This window comes from Homo sapiens, chromosome 13, assembly GCF_000001405.40.
Source record: "Homo sapiens chromosome 13, GRCh38.p14 Primary Assembly".
Lineage (NCBI taxonomy): Eukaryota > Metazoa > Chordata > Mammalia > Primates > Hominidae > Homo > Homo sapiens.
In genome coordinates this window covers 41,145,706-41,161,659 of record NC_000013.11, presented here as the reverse complement: position 1 = coordinate 41,161,659, position 15,954 = coordinate 41,145,706, and the positions used below count along the sequence as shown (strand labels likewise).

Sequence of the window (15,954 nt, the reverse complement as noted above, 5' to 3'; positions counted from 1 at the left end):
GATAATTTGTTCCCTACCAGCACTTCAGCTTCTACTCTATACTTTGTGGGCTTGGTCAGTCTTACTGGTTCCCACTGAGCATGTCCAATTAGTATTGCTCAAAGGGAAGATTTACATGCTTTCTAGTTCACAGTACTAGGAAGGGGAATCATCCTCCAGTCATATACAATGTCCATTCCCAGAAAACATTTAGGTAAAGGAGACACAGCTACTTTACATAAAGCCTGTTCAAACATTTTAACTCTTAAAATCCTATTGACCCTTACATTTTATGTTGTAGTCCCAGGAAACTTTTTCTCCACCCTAGACCATTTTACCCTTTCTTGTGAAAAAGGATCTGAGTTCCCAACAGGGAGCTGAGCCAAGGCACTTGGGCTCATTGGTCAATCCTTATCTTGATTAACTGCCTCAACATTGCCCCAATTTTTGGTCAGCTTTCTCACTGTAATCTTTACCTTCTGATTTTTTTTCTTAAATTTCACAAATCTGGGGCAAATACAGAAAACTGATTTGGGCTCTATAATGTTTGTAGACAGGCAGGGCTCCCTCTTTGATAGTGTTGTATTAAGACCTTTGTTTTAACCCCATCAATTTGTTTTATTTATCCCATTTTTAATAACTATTTAAACATGTTTACCCTGCTGGGATGAGTCCCATGACTCTCCCCTTTCTTTTTCCTTTTAGTTTCACCCTTATCAATGCTCTCTGTATTCTTTTTTTTTTTTTTTTTTCTGACATGGAGTCTTGCTCTTGTCACCCAGGCTGGAGTGCAATGACGTGATCTTGGCTCGCTGCAACCTCCACCGCCCGGGTTCAAGCGATTCTCCTGCCTCAGCCTCCTGAGTAGCTGGGATTACAGGCGCCTGTCACCACGCCCAGCTAATTTTTGTATTTTTGTAGAGACATGGTTTCGCCATGTTGGCCAGGCTGGTCTCTAACTCCTGACCTCGTGATCCACCTGCCTCAGCCTCCCAAAGTGCTGGGATTACAGGCGTGAGCCACTGTGCCCAGACTATTCATCTTATTTCTTAATAAACATTTAAAAATTTACACCCTTCTGGGAGGAGTCTTTTGACTCTCTGCTCTAACCTTCACCATGTTCTTGTTAATTAACCTAACTTTTAAAATTAATACCTGTAAGACCCATCAAGGAAAGCTGAGACAACAAGTTTGATAAGGCTTCTAGGACTCTTGTTCCATTTTTCAGGAGTGATGTCATTACATGTGGTACCTTTCATGCGTGTCCGTGTGAAGAGACCACCAAACAGGCTTTGTGTGAGCAACATGGCTGTTTATTTCACCTGGGTGCAGGCGGGCTGAGTCCGAAAAGAGAGTCATCGAAGGGAGATAAGGGTGGGGCCGTTTTATAGGATTTGGGTAGGTAAAGGAAAATTACAGTCAAAGGGGGTTTGTTGTCTGGCGGGTAGGAGTGGGGTTCGCAAGGTGCTCAGTGGGCAGGAGTGGGGGTCGCAAGGTGCTCAGTGGGGGTGCTTTTTGAGCCAGGATGAGCCAGGAAAAGGACTTTCACAAGGTAATGTCATCAGTTAAGGCAAGGACCGGCCATTTACACTTCTTTTGTGGTGGAATGTCATCAGTTAAGGTGGGGCAAGGCATATTCACTTCTTTTGTGATTCTTCAGTTACTTCAGGCCATCTGGGCGTATACATGCAAGTCACAGGGGATGCGATGGCTTGGCTTGGGCTCAGAGGCCTGACAGTACCCGTGTAGAAGGGGTCCCCTTAACCACAGCATTTACCATAACCTGGGTAACAGGCATATTCAGTGGGTGAATATACTGGTCCTCATAAAGCCAATCCCACATGGCTTGCACATGCTTCATCTGAATTACCCAACTTGGTATTTACAGGGGGAGTTGAACAGACCCCCTTTTCGGGGTAAAAAGATCTTACAGTGGCTTTTATCCAGTCCACCAGCCCAGTTCTTCTCTCAGGAATAACCTATGTGTCTGGATCATATATATGAATCTGCAATTGTTCTATAGTGACCTGTGGGTCCTGCATCACCCAAACATGTTTTTCCACTGTGCAGCATTTCAAACCAAAGCCACTGCTTCCAAATTAGTTACTCTCATAATCCATTTTGGTAAAAGTTCCTCAGGGAGCTGCTGATACTGTTGTACAAAATGGAATGATTCCTTCATACTATACCCTATGGTTTCAACTGTTGCTTGCTTTTGCCCTTCTGCCACATTGACTACCCACAAGTATCAAAGGTACTTTCTGTTGTGCTGGCATACTTTTTCTCCCTTGTGGGTAGATTTGAGGCTAAGAATCTGAGCTCAGACAGACCCATATCTGAGGTTGGTCCAGGCTCAAGCCCCAACCAGGCACTCTCTTTTACTTTCATTTTAGCTTTTATAGATAACAATAACTAAAAGGAAAATAAAATCTTAAGTCCCCCAAATCACAATGCCAAAGGTAAACATAAAGCTTGGGAACAGATTCATGCAAAAATGGCCTTCCTTTTGTTCCTAAACAGAAAGCTGCAATGATAGAAGGCCACATCTCTCTCCAGGTAGCCTCCCTCACAAATTTCTCTCAAGGAAATTCCTTGTGGGCCCCCAAATCTGTCAGAATAAATATCCCTTCAATAACCCTAAAACCCTCAATGCCACACGAAGCACCTAAAAAAAAAGTATCAAGTATCATAGGATAGAACATGGGCCTAGAACCCCTATATGCTCACTGTTCAAGCTGGCCCTGCAGACTGGTCAGTTCTGCAGTTCGGACTATACCAAGTACCTGTTAAGACAAATTTTGCTGTGGGCCCCTGAAATAAAATTGGATGAGGTTTCCTTCTCATTTTGTTTTATGTCCTTGAAAGCTTGACTTTCTTACCAAGTGGGAGTACTCTCTTAGTCTCCACTATCTGGAGGGCAGGAATTTTCAGGTTCACATCAGGAAGCCAGTCTGCAAAGACTGGGAATCCAAGACATCTAATATTTTAAGCAGTACACTTTTTGTTCCAAATGTGTCAACTTCTTAGGGAAGTTTTTTCTTAAAAGATCTCATCCCTATGGGGTTTTTGTCATCTTTTGCTATCTTAAATCTATTTCTAAGAGTGAATTTTTAGGGATCATGGGGACTGCCTCCCTTCTGCCCTCTCCAGGAATGTAAAAACTTTTTCTAAACCTAGAAAATTATGACCTGGGCTTTACAGAGAGATTTTTGGATTGAGTTGCTAGGGAAAACCAAATTTTAAAAAGGACACATAATAGTGTAATGGCTAGTCTTGAGAATTCGGTTGAGCAAAATCTAACATAAAAAAAGCTTAAAATCTTTGAAAGCTCAAAATTGCTTTAGATTCCCTCTAGGAAAAACAATGGACACCACCCCATGATGTAGTTCAGTAGCTAAGGTTCTTCCCTTTTCACCTTGGTGACCTGGGTTTGTTTTCCGGCCAGAGAATGAGTCCTTTCTGGTTTGATATTTGTATGACTTTTCAAATACCAGCTGTTTGTTATGGCAAAAATCTGGTGATAAGAGTTTCAAAGTTGTGTTTTTTTGTTTGTTTGTTTTTTGTTTTTTTAAAAAGAGCTCAATAGTCAAAAGTAGACTTAACTAAAACTGATATCTAGGGTATATATGTATACACACACACACACACACACACACACACACACACACACACACTAGTTTTAAGCCTCTGTTCTCTCTTTGTAAAAACTTTTTGTCAGCTAAATTGTTTCTCCGTTTACTTCTGCCTGTCCCTCCTTTCTCTTGCCACCCTCAATGCCATACGAAGCACCTAAAAAAAAAAAAAAAAAAGAAGAAAAAAAGGAATTTCTGACAGCCTGGGATCCACTGGGGAGACAGAAAAGGCACCAAAGACTTCTCTGTTTGAAAGAAATCTGTTTTTCTTCATGTCATCCCAGGAGTTGTAAGCAGACCAATTAACTCATATCTAATAAAACTCTATTCTCTTTTGCATTGTGTTACCTGATTTTGTTTTACTTTTGGGGGGACTTAAATTACTTTGCATCATGAGAAAATAACTTTGGTGTATACAATAGGTAGATAAGAAATACACTTTTAGAAATGGCTGATGGCAGAGGCTTACAGTGAGTAGTTATGACCACATTGTTTTACTCATTTCCTTGTGCATGTGTATGAGAAAAGTGAGCTTTGGGGCATGTAGAAGCTATGGAAACATCCCCACTCCTGACTGAGAGACAAGTCTCCTGTGGGGGATGAGATGATCACAGAATCGGCTGATTGGCATTGGGTCGCCCACCATCCTTGGGAGAACAGAATATCCTTGCAGCGAGGAACACTGTAAAAGCTTTGAACTATCTTGTCTCATGGTGTTCCCCTCTCTTTGGGAACCACAGATGGAGTGTAAAAATGTTATCCTTGGTTTTGGAGGATCTGTTCTGCCTTCCAGCTATGCTTGCTTCACACGTATGTAAATATCAGGCCATAAAAACTGCTTATTTTCCTTCTCATATTCATTAAAGGGCTCCACCCTAAAGCCAATAATCTAATTGAGAACAAGTTAAGTTTAAAAAGCCAAAATACAACTTTCAGGCATGTAGGTGGCTATCTGAAAACTCTTTCATAAAGTAAATTTACATCTTCAAGGAAATTTGTATTTGTAATGGTATCTCCCTATGTACATTAGAAACTCTTCCCATTGCTTTAAATTCACAAGTCATACCTTTGTTTAAAGTACTTTTCCTGGCCATCTTAACTAAAATTTACTTACACCATTGTTTTTCCCTTGGCTTGAGCAAATGATGGTACAATATTTAGGCCTACTGTGTTAGCTCTGTGCTTTGAAAATGCAAATTGTCTATTTTGCTTCGCCTAAGAGTTGTCTGTTTAGAAATGCAAATTTTGAGCTGTCCAGCTGACAATTGCCCAGGGCAATGAAACAGATTATCAAGAGAATTGATAATCTAACGTGGGGGAGAGATATTTTGAAAGCTGACAAATGAACAATCATATAAATCTATAAGATCTGCTTCTGTCTATGCCTGCATGTCTATGTGTTTACACAAGTCATGTGTATGTGATGTTTCACTACCAAAATATATAACCGAGCTCTAATTAATTGGCCTAAAGAAAAAAGTAAGTGCTTAAATAAAATTTTTCATCAGAAAAATAGAAACTTTAACTCAAATGCCTTTTAGTTCATGTAACTTTAGCAATATTTGGTAAATAAAACTAGTTTTTAAGTTATTGATAAAAACATCTCCAGAATTTAATTTAGACTTTCGATCTAAACTAGTTAGGCAGGTTAAACACTGTGCTAAATGCTTAAAGACATAAAACTTTGCTTCTACTTGTCTATAAACTTATGAACCTCCTAGGTTTTTCACCAAAAATAAGAGTTACTAAGAGGTAACATTATAATTAATGTATTTAATTAAAACTACTAGATACATACAAAGTGTATTTTAAAAGCAGAATGTGTTTCAGTTAAAAATATGGTTTATAAGAAGGCATGGGAATGTGGATTTTTTTAAGGGAACATAATTTCTGTCTAGAAGTTCTAAGGAGGAATTTGTTTATAAGATTTTATTAAAAGTAGCTTTTGCATTAATAATATCGAATGCAAAGGTAAAATTTGGTTTTCTCTTTTGAATAAGATTTTCATGTAATATTAAGATATAATGGGCTGGGAGCAGTGGCTTACACCTGTAATCCCAGCACTTTGGAAGGCCGGCACAGGCGGATCACCTGAGGTCGGGAGTTCGAGACCAGCCTGACCAACGTGAAGAAACCCCGTCTCTACTAAAAATACAAAGTTAGCCGGATGTGGTGGCACATGCCTGTAATCCCAGCTACTCGGGAGCTGAGGCAGGAGAATAGTTTGAACCTAGGAGGTGGAGGTTGCGGTGAGCCGAGATCATGCCATTGTACTCCAGCCTGGGCAACAAGAGCAAAACTCCGTCTCAAAAAAAAGAAAAAAAAAAAAGATACAGTAAAATATTTTTGTTTGCCTTTTGAATTAACTGCAAAAGAAAAAAGAGAGGGAGAGGAGAGCTAGATTCAGTTGGCCTTATGCTGACTTTACTAGGTCTTATTGTTTGAGAAACTGAGTCTCCTCTCTATCAAAGAGTAAAGGTTTTTGCTTTTTAAAAATCTTTGAATTATCATTTTGGCTAAATGAATGACTTATTTTATAGTAACCTGACAACCGGATTTGTGACATCATGTGTTTTTTTTGTTTTTTTTGGTTTTTTTGAGATGGAGTCTTGCTCTGTCACCCAGGCTGCAGTGCAGTGGCACGATCTCGGCTTACTGCAACCTCCACCTCCGAGATTCAAGCAATTCTCCTGCCTCAGCCTCCTGAGTAGCTGGGATTACAGGCATGTGCCACCACGCCTGGCTAATTTTTTTGTATTTTTAGTAGAGATGGGGTTTCACCATATTGGCCAGGCTGGTCTCGAACTCCTGACCTTGTGATCCACCTGCCTCGACCTCCCAAAGTGCTGGGATTACAGGCGTGAGCCACCACACCCAGCCCTGACATTATGTGTTTTAAACCTTTGATATTTGACAAACTTTCCAAAATCAAGTTTCAAATTCAGTCATTAAACCTCATTATCTTTTTAGACATTAGGTCCCCTGCAGTCCAAAAGAGACATATCTGGCTTATTTGATATGCTCAATCATACAAGAACCATTGTCAAATATAAAGTGGTGTTTAATTTTCTTTGGGTTATGTTTATATAAATGTGTTATTAGTAAATGTTCCAAAAGTGTATGAGATTCCTATAATTCTGATATGTTTTAGTACATATTATCAATAATAATAATAATCATTATGTGTAATTGTTTTATGCCACAGAACTAACCAAATATCTTGGTCAGTTGTATCTTTAACCATGGCTGTTCTAAGACTTTTGTCATCCACAATTATTTGTTTTACCTTGATTCTTCTCAAAAAGTGGTTTCTAAAAAGCAACAATCTAAAATTTGCTTCTTGGCCTGGTGTAGTGACTCATGCCTATAATCCTAGCACTTTGGGAGGCCAAGGCAGGTGGATCACTTGAGGCCAGGAGTTAGAGACCAGCCTGGCAAACACGGCAAACCCTGTCTCTACTGAAAATACAAAAATTAGGCACAGCGGCGTGCACCTGTAGTCCCAGACACTCGGGAGGCTGAGGCACCAGAATCATTTGAACCCAAGTGACAGAAGTTGCCATGAGTCAAGATTGTGCCACTGCACTCCAGCCTGGGTGACACAGCGAGACTCTGTTTTAGGGAAAAAAAAAAAAAAAAAAAAGGTCATAAAACTTGCTTCTTTAAGGGAATTCATGGAAAGGACTCTGATGGGTGCTCTTAAATGGAGGTTTCAGATAACCTTGGAGACTGTGTCATTGTACTAAAGAATAAAAAACTTCCAGGACTCTCATTAAAAAGAGCTAATATGTTCACAAGGATTGCTGACTCAGTACCAAGCAGGACAGGGGTTAACTGCATGGACTGAACTAATGGAAGGCTGAAATAATTTTTCAATGATTTTTTTGTTTGAAACATTGCTGATTTTTTTTTTATCAGAATCAAGAAAACTTTTTTTCTTTTGAGCTATTTACAGCTTTTAACAATTGAGTAAAGTACAGTCTTATAAGCAAAATTTGAAGCATATTTCTTTCTCTCTCCCTGATTTCTAAAAAAATTTGGAAGCTACCTGTGAATATTCTTAATTTGTGGCAGTGCAGTTATTTGCATAAATTCAATGAGAATCTGTTTTCTCTTGTAACAGGACACAAACCACTCACCTTGTTCACCCTTCCCCACTTTTCCCCTCCTTCCTCTGCTGCTTGCTCTTTTTCCTTTAAATATTGAAGTGCTCAAGACTTTGGAAAAAGCACAGGCCACAGATCCTACTGTGACTTGTGTCTTTTTTTTCCCTTGTGTGTCCTCAACATTTGCAAAATAAAGTTCTAAATTGATTGAGGTCTTTCTCAGACACTTTTTGGTTTACAATAACCAAGGGATTTAATATTTCACATTTTGGTTATTAGTGTGCATTTCCTTATGTATCCATTGGCCCAACTCTCTAGGAGTTGAATTCATCTGTAAATTCCACTGGTAACTTTTACATTTAGTAACTGAATGCAGTGCAGCAGCTCTATGCCGTGGGTGATCACATGGGCACCCGGGAATCAAAGGTTCCTCATTCCTCACCTGTTTATCCTTTTCCTTTTTATGCATTAACTTTTATCTACATCATTTATTTCCTTCATTTTGAAACATTTAACCTCTAGACAAAATTAGTTCTCCTTTACCAAAACTGTATCTTCACGTCTTTTTAAAATAAACTTCCTGACCAAAACCACATATTTTTTATACACTCTGTATATAGAATTATTTTTCTTGGATCTAGTAGTTTTATTATTTTTTATTTTCATTTATATTTTTAAAACAGGGTCTCACTCTGTCACCCAGACTGGAGTGCAGTGGTGCAATCATGGCTCACTGCAACCTCAATCTCCCAGACTTAAGCAATCCTTCCACCTCAGCCTCTTGAGTAGCTGGAACTACAGGCATAAGCCACCATACCCAGCTAATAGTAGTTTTTAATATTACATATATTAACAACTATTCTAACTCTTAGTAACCCTAATTTCAGTGAAAAACCTAGGATTACTTAATTTAACATAATATGACTTCAAGATTTTAAATTACTGAAGAGAATTTTGAAATTGAAACCACTTTTATGAAATTTTAAAAGGTCACAAGATTAAAATTATGGTAGGGGGATGAATTTTCTTAAGATATTTATCTTTCTCTCAGATCTCTTCCTCCTCCATGCATGATTGCTTGCATATAGTCACTTCAATAGACACTAATAATTTATTACCTCCTTGTCTTACCCCAGGCAGGCTGCCCACAAGATTAATGAAGTTTTTTCTTTAAAGACTAATGATCCTTAGATTATGCAGATCCTCCCTATGGCTTCCAGAAGTTGGACTGACCAGAGAGAAGGCTGAGCAGCTTTGACCACCAGGGATTTCACCTCATGCAAACTTTTCTACTAAGCTATAGTCATGGTTATATAATAACCCACCATTGTTTCCCAGCTTGCTTTTCCATAGTAACCAGCAGTCACAAACACTATTGTGAAACCTAAGACTGGTCTTTGAGATATTTTTCAGACTTTGCCTCTAACAGCCTGGACCAACTGATGCCAACTGTACCTGTGGCCCATGAGGGTAACTAAGGAACTGACTTGACTTGTATTATGACTTCTCCATGGCCCAATAACTGATTTAGCACATGAAGACAGCTCTGACACCCCTATGGTTTCATCCCAGACCAAATTAGCAACACCCATCCCTTAACCTTCTTCCCACCAAATTATCCTTAAAACCCTAGCCTCTGAATTCTCAGGGAGGCAGCTTTGAGAAATCTCCCATTCTCCTTCCGCAGTTCCCTTGTGATAATTAAAGTCTTTCTTTACTACCACACCTGCTGTCTCAGTGTTTGGCTCTATCTGGGCAGTGGATAAGAACCTGGTTAAATGGTAACAAAACTAGTTTTATTTATCAATGATTACTAAAGTCATGTGAACTAAAAGTCATTTGAGTCTAGTGGCCAACGCCATTTGGCCCTTTGGAGGTTCATCGAAAAATCACTGACATGAGGTATATGAATGGGAGAAAAGGCATATACATTTATTTAACATGTATACACAGGATCCTTCAGAATGAAGGCCCAACTCCCCAGTGAGTTTTACAAGCTTACATACCATCCTGGCAAAAACAAGTTATGGAAGGGGAGAGAAAACAAATGCTGTTGAGAGGATTACTAGGGAGAATGATTTACTTGTAAATAGTTCTTTTTGACAGTGGAAAGATCTGTTCAGGTGTGGTTGCATTCTTTGTCTTACAGGGAGGGATGAAAAAAAATTTTTTTTACCATCATGCTTTATGTCCATGTAAAGAAAAAACAATTTTTTTCTCTGCTGGGTCTGGACTTTAGGCAGATAAAGGAACTTCAGCTTCTTTGAGAGAGACCTTGGGTGGTGGGGAGGTCAGAGAGGCCTTGATCAAGGCTTCTTCAGTTCAGCATGGCAATGCACCATATTTTGGGTATTTGTTTCTGAGCCCCAACATGAGCTGGCTTTTATTTTTCTGACAAAGTATTTTATTTAAGCACTTACTTTTCTATAAGCCAATTGATTAAAGCACTTTCATATATTTTGGTAGTGTAATATCTCATACAAGTGATACATACATATAGACATAAAGACACACACAGGCAGATCTTATAGATTTATAAGATTCTTCACTCATCAATTTTCAAATCGTTTCTTTCCCACTTTTAGACTATCAGTCATTCTTGAAGACATGACTCAGGTGAAACAAGGTAGAAAATTTACATATCAAAGACCCAGAACTTAGACTTAAACACCATTATCTGAAGACAAGATTTTGAGGGAAAGTGTCTTTTCAACTTAGCTTGTTTCTTAACTAGATTACTGACTTGAGGTTGGAGCCCTTTAATGAATAGGGCAAAGAAAGCATGCAGTTTTTAGGGCCTAAACCTTGCTTTTCTCAAATGCCCAAAGAAATGAGTAGGCCCCTGTAGTAATAACCAGTTACTATAAGGAACTGTCTCTCAGCTACCTCTAACGCTGTAACTCTCACCTGTGACTCACCAGTCATTACACTTGGCAAGATCAAGTCCTCAAACTTACAAAGTAATTTCTTGTATCCTCAAAATCCAAAGAGATCAAGTAATGCAATACAAAAGAGAACAGGGTTTTATACCTGAGAGGAATCTGTCTGCTTACAATTCTCGGGGTTCCATAAGAAAAAAACAGAGGTTCAACCCCAAAAAGAAGTCTTTGATACCTTTTCTGTTTTCCTTAAGTGATCCCAGATTGTTAGAAATCCTTTTAAGATCTACTCATGTGGCATAAAGGATGGCAAGAAGGAGGGACAGACCGAAGTAAATGGACAAACACCGAGAAATCAGTCAACTGAGTTGTTTTACAAAGTGAGAGCAGAAGCCTTAAAACAATACATATGCATACACACATTGCCCAAATATCAGGTTTAACCAATTTGACTATAGAGTCTTTGACTTTTGACTATAGAGGTCTTTTAAAAAATATATCTCTCCTAATGGTAATTCCTCCTCAAGCTGTTTTATTTTGCTTCTGCTGCTGAGAGAGGAGGAAGGAAGAAACTGGTCAGGCAGACAGTTAGGGTGGCTCCTTGGTAAAACTCCTTCAAAGAACAGCCTGAAAATCACTGCAGGCCCCACATCCTTGAATGGAAATGTCTACTCTGAAACAAGATGAACAAATTCCACTCGTTTTTTGGCTCTGACTTTTCACCTACTTTACATATGCCTACCTTTCTGTGATTGGCCACAGGCCAAGTCTTCATTTACATATGGTGAATCATCACTTCAGCCCCTGATTGGTCCTGGGCCAAGCCTTCACCTCTACCTCCAACTGGTTCTCCAAGACAGCCTACAGATCAGTCAGCACATTCCTCCCCTTCCAGTCCATAAAAACCTGGGACTCAGTCTCATAGCTGGCAACCCTCTCAGGTCCCGCTCTCCACTGTGGAGAGCTTTCTTCTTTGGCTTTTTAAACTTCTGCTCCAACCTCATCATTGGTGTCCACACTCCTTAATTTTATTGGTCATGAGACAAAGAACTCCGGGTAGTACCTCAGACGAAATGACTGCAACACTGCTAGGTGGGCTCCCATCACCAAACAGGCAGCCTGTAGAAGCAGACATCTTACTACAGTGGCTACTCACCACCCTTCCTTACAGCAGTATGGTAGATGGTTATCAGTTAACAATTGCTCTAAACCCACCAGCATTTTCAGGGCATCCTCATTCTCATGCAGTGGTCCACAAATGTCTAAAAGGTGATCCACACCACTCCACATGGAATGGATGGCCATGCTGGGAGTTCCCCCATGGATGCTACATACCCTTTTCCCATTTATTGATCTCTCAGCTTCTGGCCTGGCTCACCACATGTTCCATGGTGGGCAGGTCTGTATAAACCTGCCCCCAATAGTCTAAGGACACTGAGAGGCTGAAGAAAAAGGCTAAGATATCAATTTTCTCAGAAAGAAACATTTAATAGGAACTTAGGAAAAGAAGTCATGTCTGTGCCTCAGGCAGCAGAAAAACAAGATGGTGGGGCCCTGAACCATTACCCCCCATACTGCTAGGTTATATATCATAGGCAAAGGGTATATGTGATTCAAAAGGGATGTGTAGGACAATTGCTTAAGGGCAGGACTTATGGTAAGTACAATAATATCAAGATTCTTTTGATCTAATGGCAGGATTTATGATAAATACATGCTGTTACACAAGGAGTAGTAGACAAAATAGAAATCTTGGCAGCATTCCAGGGAGTGGGTTTAATTAGAAGTCAACAAGGCAGATTAAGCATCCAAGATGAAGTGGCTTTTCCCTCCACACTCAATTTTTTTAATGCAAAAGAAAAAGAAGAAAATGTTTAGCAAACTAGGATTAGAAGGGAATTATCTCAACTAGATGAATTTGATAAAGAGCATCTACAACAAAATCCTACAGCTAACATTAGACTCAATGACAAAAGACCAAATGCTTTTCCTCTATGATCCTGAACAAGGCAGGGATGTTCTCTTTACTATCTTTCATCTTTTTTCTTTTTGAGATGGGGTCTCACTCTATTACCCAGGCTGGAGTGCAGTGGTGAAAACACCACACACTGTAGCCTTGACTGTTGTGGGAATCAGGAGACTGGAGAGACCGATAGGTGGAACAGGAGGATTTTTTTTAGTGCACTCAGACCCAGTGGATTTACATCCAAAATTCGGGCCCAGAACAAAGACAGCACTTGACTTTTACACACACTTCTAAAAGAGGGTGGGCTAGCTTGAAACAAGCTTACAGTGGCATGAAGCATAGTGGCATGAAAGCAAGGATACAGAGGCAGAACAAAGGCAGTTAATCAAATTGTGACAGGTGCATAACTCAGGATTACATGCAACTCTTGCTACGTGGCCCAGATGGCTGTTATCTAGGCTTGCTCTAGTGCCTTGCATGGGCTTATCTCATAACTCTCACTATGGTGCCTAGATGGCTGCAGCCCAGGCCTGCTGAGGCATGTCTTATAACCTTCAATGTGCTGCTCAGATAAAAACAGAACACTTGAAGTTATTAGTTACAGAAAACAGGAATCTATAACATTATAAAACTTGCAGAGCAAGGTACAATCACATGGAGGGGGTTAGGATTCAAGGGGGAAGTTTCCTTATACTAAATGAGAGAGGAAAATGTATTTTCCTTATCCTTATGTTGAGAGAGTGCTGAGAGAGTCTCCAGATCACATTCTTTTGAGCTCTGGCTTCTTAGATAATGTTATTGAGACTTCACCTGGGTCCAGGCTTTGCCTGTTACTGCCTTTAGGATGAGTCAGCCTAATATAGAAAGCTTGTTTTTCTCTTTTTAATTTTATTTTTCTTTCTTTAATTTCCTGCCTCATGACCTCCTGGGCTCAAGCAAACCTTCTGTCTCAGCCTCTCAAGTAGCTGAGACCACAGGGGTGCATCAAAACACCTGGCTAGTTTTTTTAATTTTTATTTTTTGTAGAGATGGGGTCTCGCCTCAACACAGTACTGGAAGTTCTAACTACTGTAACAAATCAAGAAAAATAAATAAGGCATAAAGTTTGAAGTGCAGAAAATAAAACTATTTCCAGATGACATAATTATCTACATACAAAATCTCTAGGAATCTTTAAAAATTTCCTAGAAGTAATAAATGAATTTAGCAAAGTCACACACAAAAATCAATCACATTTCTATCTACTAACAATGGACAGGCAGAATCAAAATAAAAAACACAAAACTGTTATCCTAATAGGTATATTGCAAGATGCACACAGCAAGTCAATACACAAAGACACCGGGTGGCTTCTGAGAAAGAGGTTTAATCCTAGGGCTGCCAAATGAGAAGATGAGAGGAAATCTCAAATCCGTCTCTCTGGGGCATATGGGGATAGGGTTCCTAAGGGTTTTGGAGTGGGATAAAGTGTAGAGATTGAAGAGTGCAGGGTGATGTCATGGGACAGAGAGATGAAGAAACTGTGTTTTCATGCTGATTAGTTTCCTTTCTGGGGGTCTTCAAACTGGTTGGCATCAGCTGTTTTGCTGGAGTTTAGAATGTGAAAAACATCTTAAGCAACCCTTAAACAAAAGCTTTATGATTCTAGGGTCAGAAATCCTATCTATAGGAACAATGGGGATGCAAATGGTCAGTGTCTAGTGACTTTCAGTTACAAGGAAGTGGGTCAAAGTGCAGAGTGATTAATGCTTAATTATAACTATATTTCTGTCCAGAATTCTTGGTAATCCTGGACAGGCGCAGTGGTTCACGCCTGTAATCCCAGCACTTTTGGAGGCTGAGGTGGGCGGATCACAAGGTCAGAAGTTTGAGACCAGCCTGGGCAACATGGTGAAACCCCGTCTCTACTAAAAATACAAAAATTAGCCGGGCGTGGTGGTGCACGCCTGTAACCTCAGCTACTCAGGAGGCTGAGGCAGGAGAATAGCTTGAACCCAGAAGGCGGAGGTTGCAGTGAGCCGAGATGGCACCACTGCACTCCAGCCTGGGTGACAGTACAAGACTCCATTTCAAAAAAAAAAAAGAATTCTTGGTAATCCTGTGAAGATGGCTTCAAAGCCATTTACAATCGCTCCAAACAAAATAAAATACTTAAGTATAAGCTTAATAAAATATTTTAACTATGCTGAAAAGTACAAAATGGTAATGAAATGAATTAAAGAAGACCAAAATTAAATGGAAGGACATGCTGTGCTCATAGATTGGAAGACAATGTATTAAAGATTTTAATTCTCCCCAAGTTAATCTATAGTTTTAATGCAATGCCTATCAAAATGTGAGCAAGATTTTTTGCAGACATAAACAACCTTTATTCTAAAATTTGTATGGAAAGTCACATGCACTAAAATAGCTAAAACAATCTTGACAATGAAGAATAAAGTGGGAAGAATTACTCTGTTTGATTTTAAGGTTTATTTCATTGCTATGGTAGTCAACCCAGTGTAGTACTGGCAAAGGAACAGACACATAGATCAATGGAACGGAAGAGAGATCCACAGAATAGAAACACATCCACACCAATATACTCAACTGGTTTTTGACAAAGCTTCAAATGCAACTGAGTAGAAGAATGATGGTCTTTTCACCAGTTGGTGCTGGAGCAATTGGATACCTATCAGGAGAAAAAAAAAATGGATCTCAATCTAATCTTCACATCTTATGCAAGGATTAATTTGAAAATAATCAAAGACTTAAATGTAAAATGTAAAACTGTAATGATTTTAGCAAAAATAGGTAAAAACCTTTAGCATCTAGGGCTAGTGGTATAATTCTTAGCCCTAACATGGAAAACACATGTCAAAAATGCAAAAATTGATAAATTTGACCTTATCAAAATTTAAAACTTTACTCTGTGAAAGCTCATGTGAAGAGAATTAAAAGACAAGTTATAGATGGGGGAAATATTTTAAAATCACATATCTGACAAAGGACTAATATCTAAAATATATAAAGAACTCTCAAGACTCAACGAGTCAAACAATCCAACTGATGCAGAATTTTTGTTCCTTAGTTCAGCTAAAACTGTGTTCTTGTCATATGACAGGAAAGATTAAGCACATGGACACACTGAAAGGTGAGGGGAGCAGAAAGTATTGGGCGAAAAGGAAAAAAGAAAAAAAAATACTCAGCAAAGTGAGAGGAAGTCTTGTCAATAGGCTCCCACCTCACAGATTGGATACCAGGCCACCTCACAGACTGGATACCAGGCCACCTCACAGATTGGATACCAGGCCACCACATATGAGCTCAAGAGGCCAGGTTCCTCCTCACTGCACAGGGCACAAACTTCCTATGGCTCCACCCCATCTTCCCAGTGCACAGGCGAGTACAGA

General features: G+C 39.4%; 1 long non-coding RNA gene across 1 annotated transcript in view; it reads right to left on the bottom strand.

Annotated features, from left to right (window-relative positions):
* The window catches only part of KBTBD6-DT (KBTBD6 divergent transcript), a 103,759-nt gene that overhangs the window by 75,027 nt on the left and 12,778 nt on the right, over nucleotides 1-15,954 (bottom strand). Inside the window, exon 2 of the long non-coding RNA NR_120423.1 lies at nucleotides 15,153-15,233. This is a non-coding gene — a long non-coding RNA (KBTBD6 divergent transcript). The remainder of the gene's footprint in view (nucleotides 1-15,152; nucleotides 15,234-15,954) is intronic.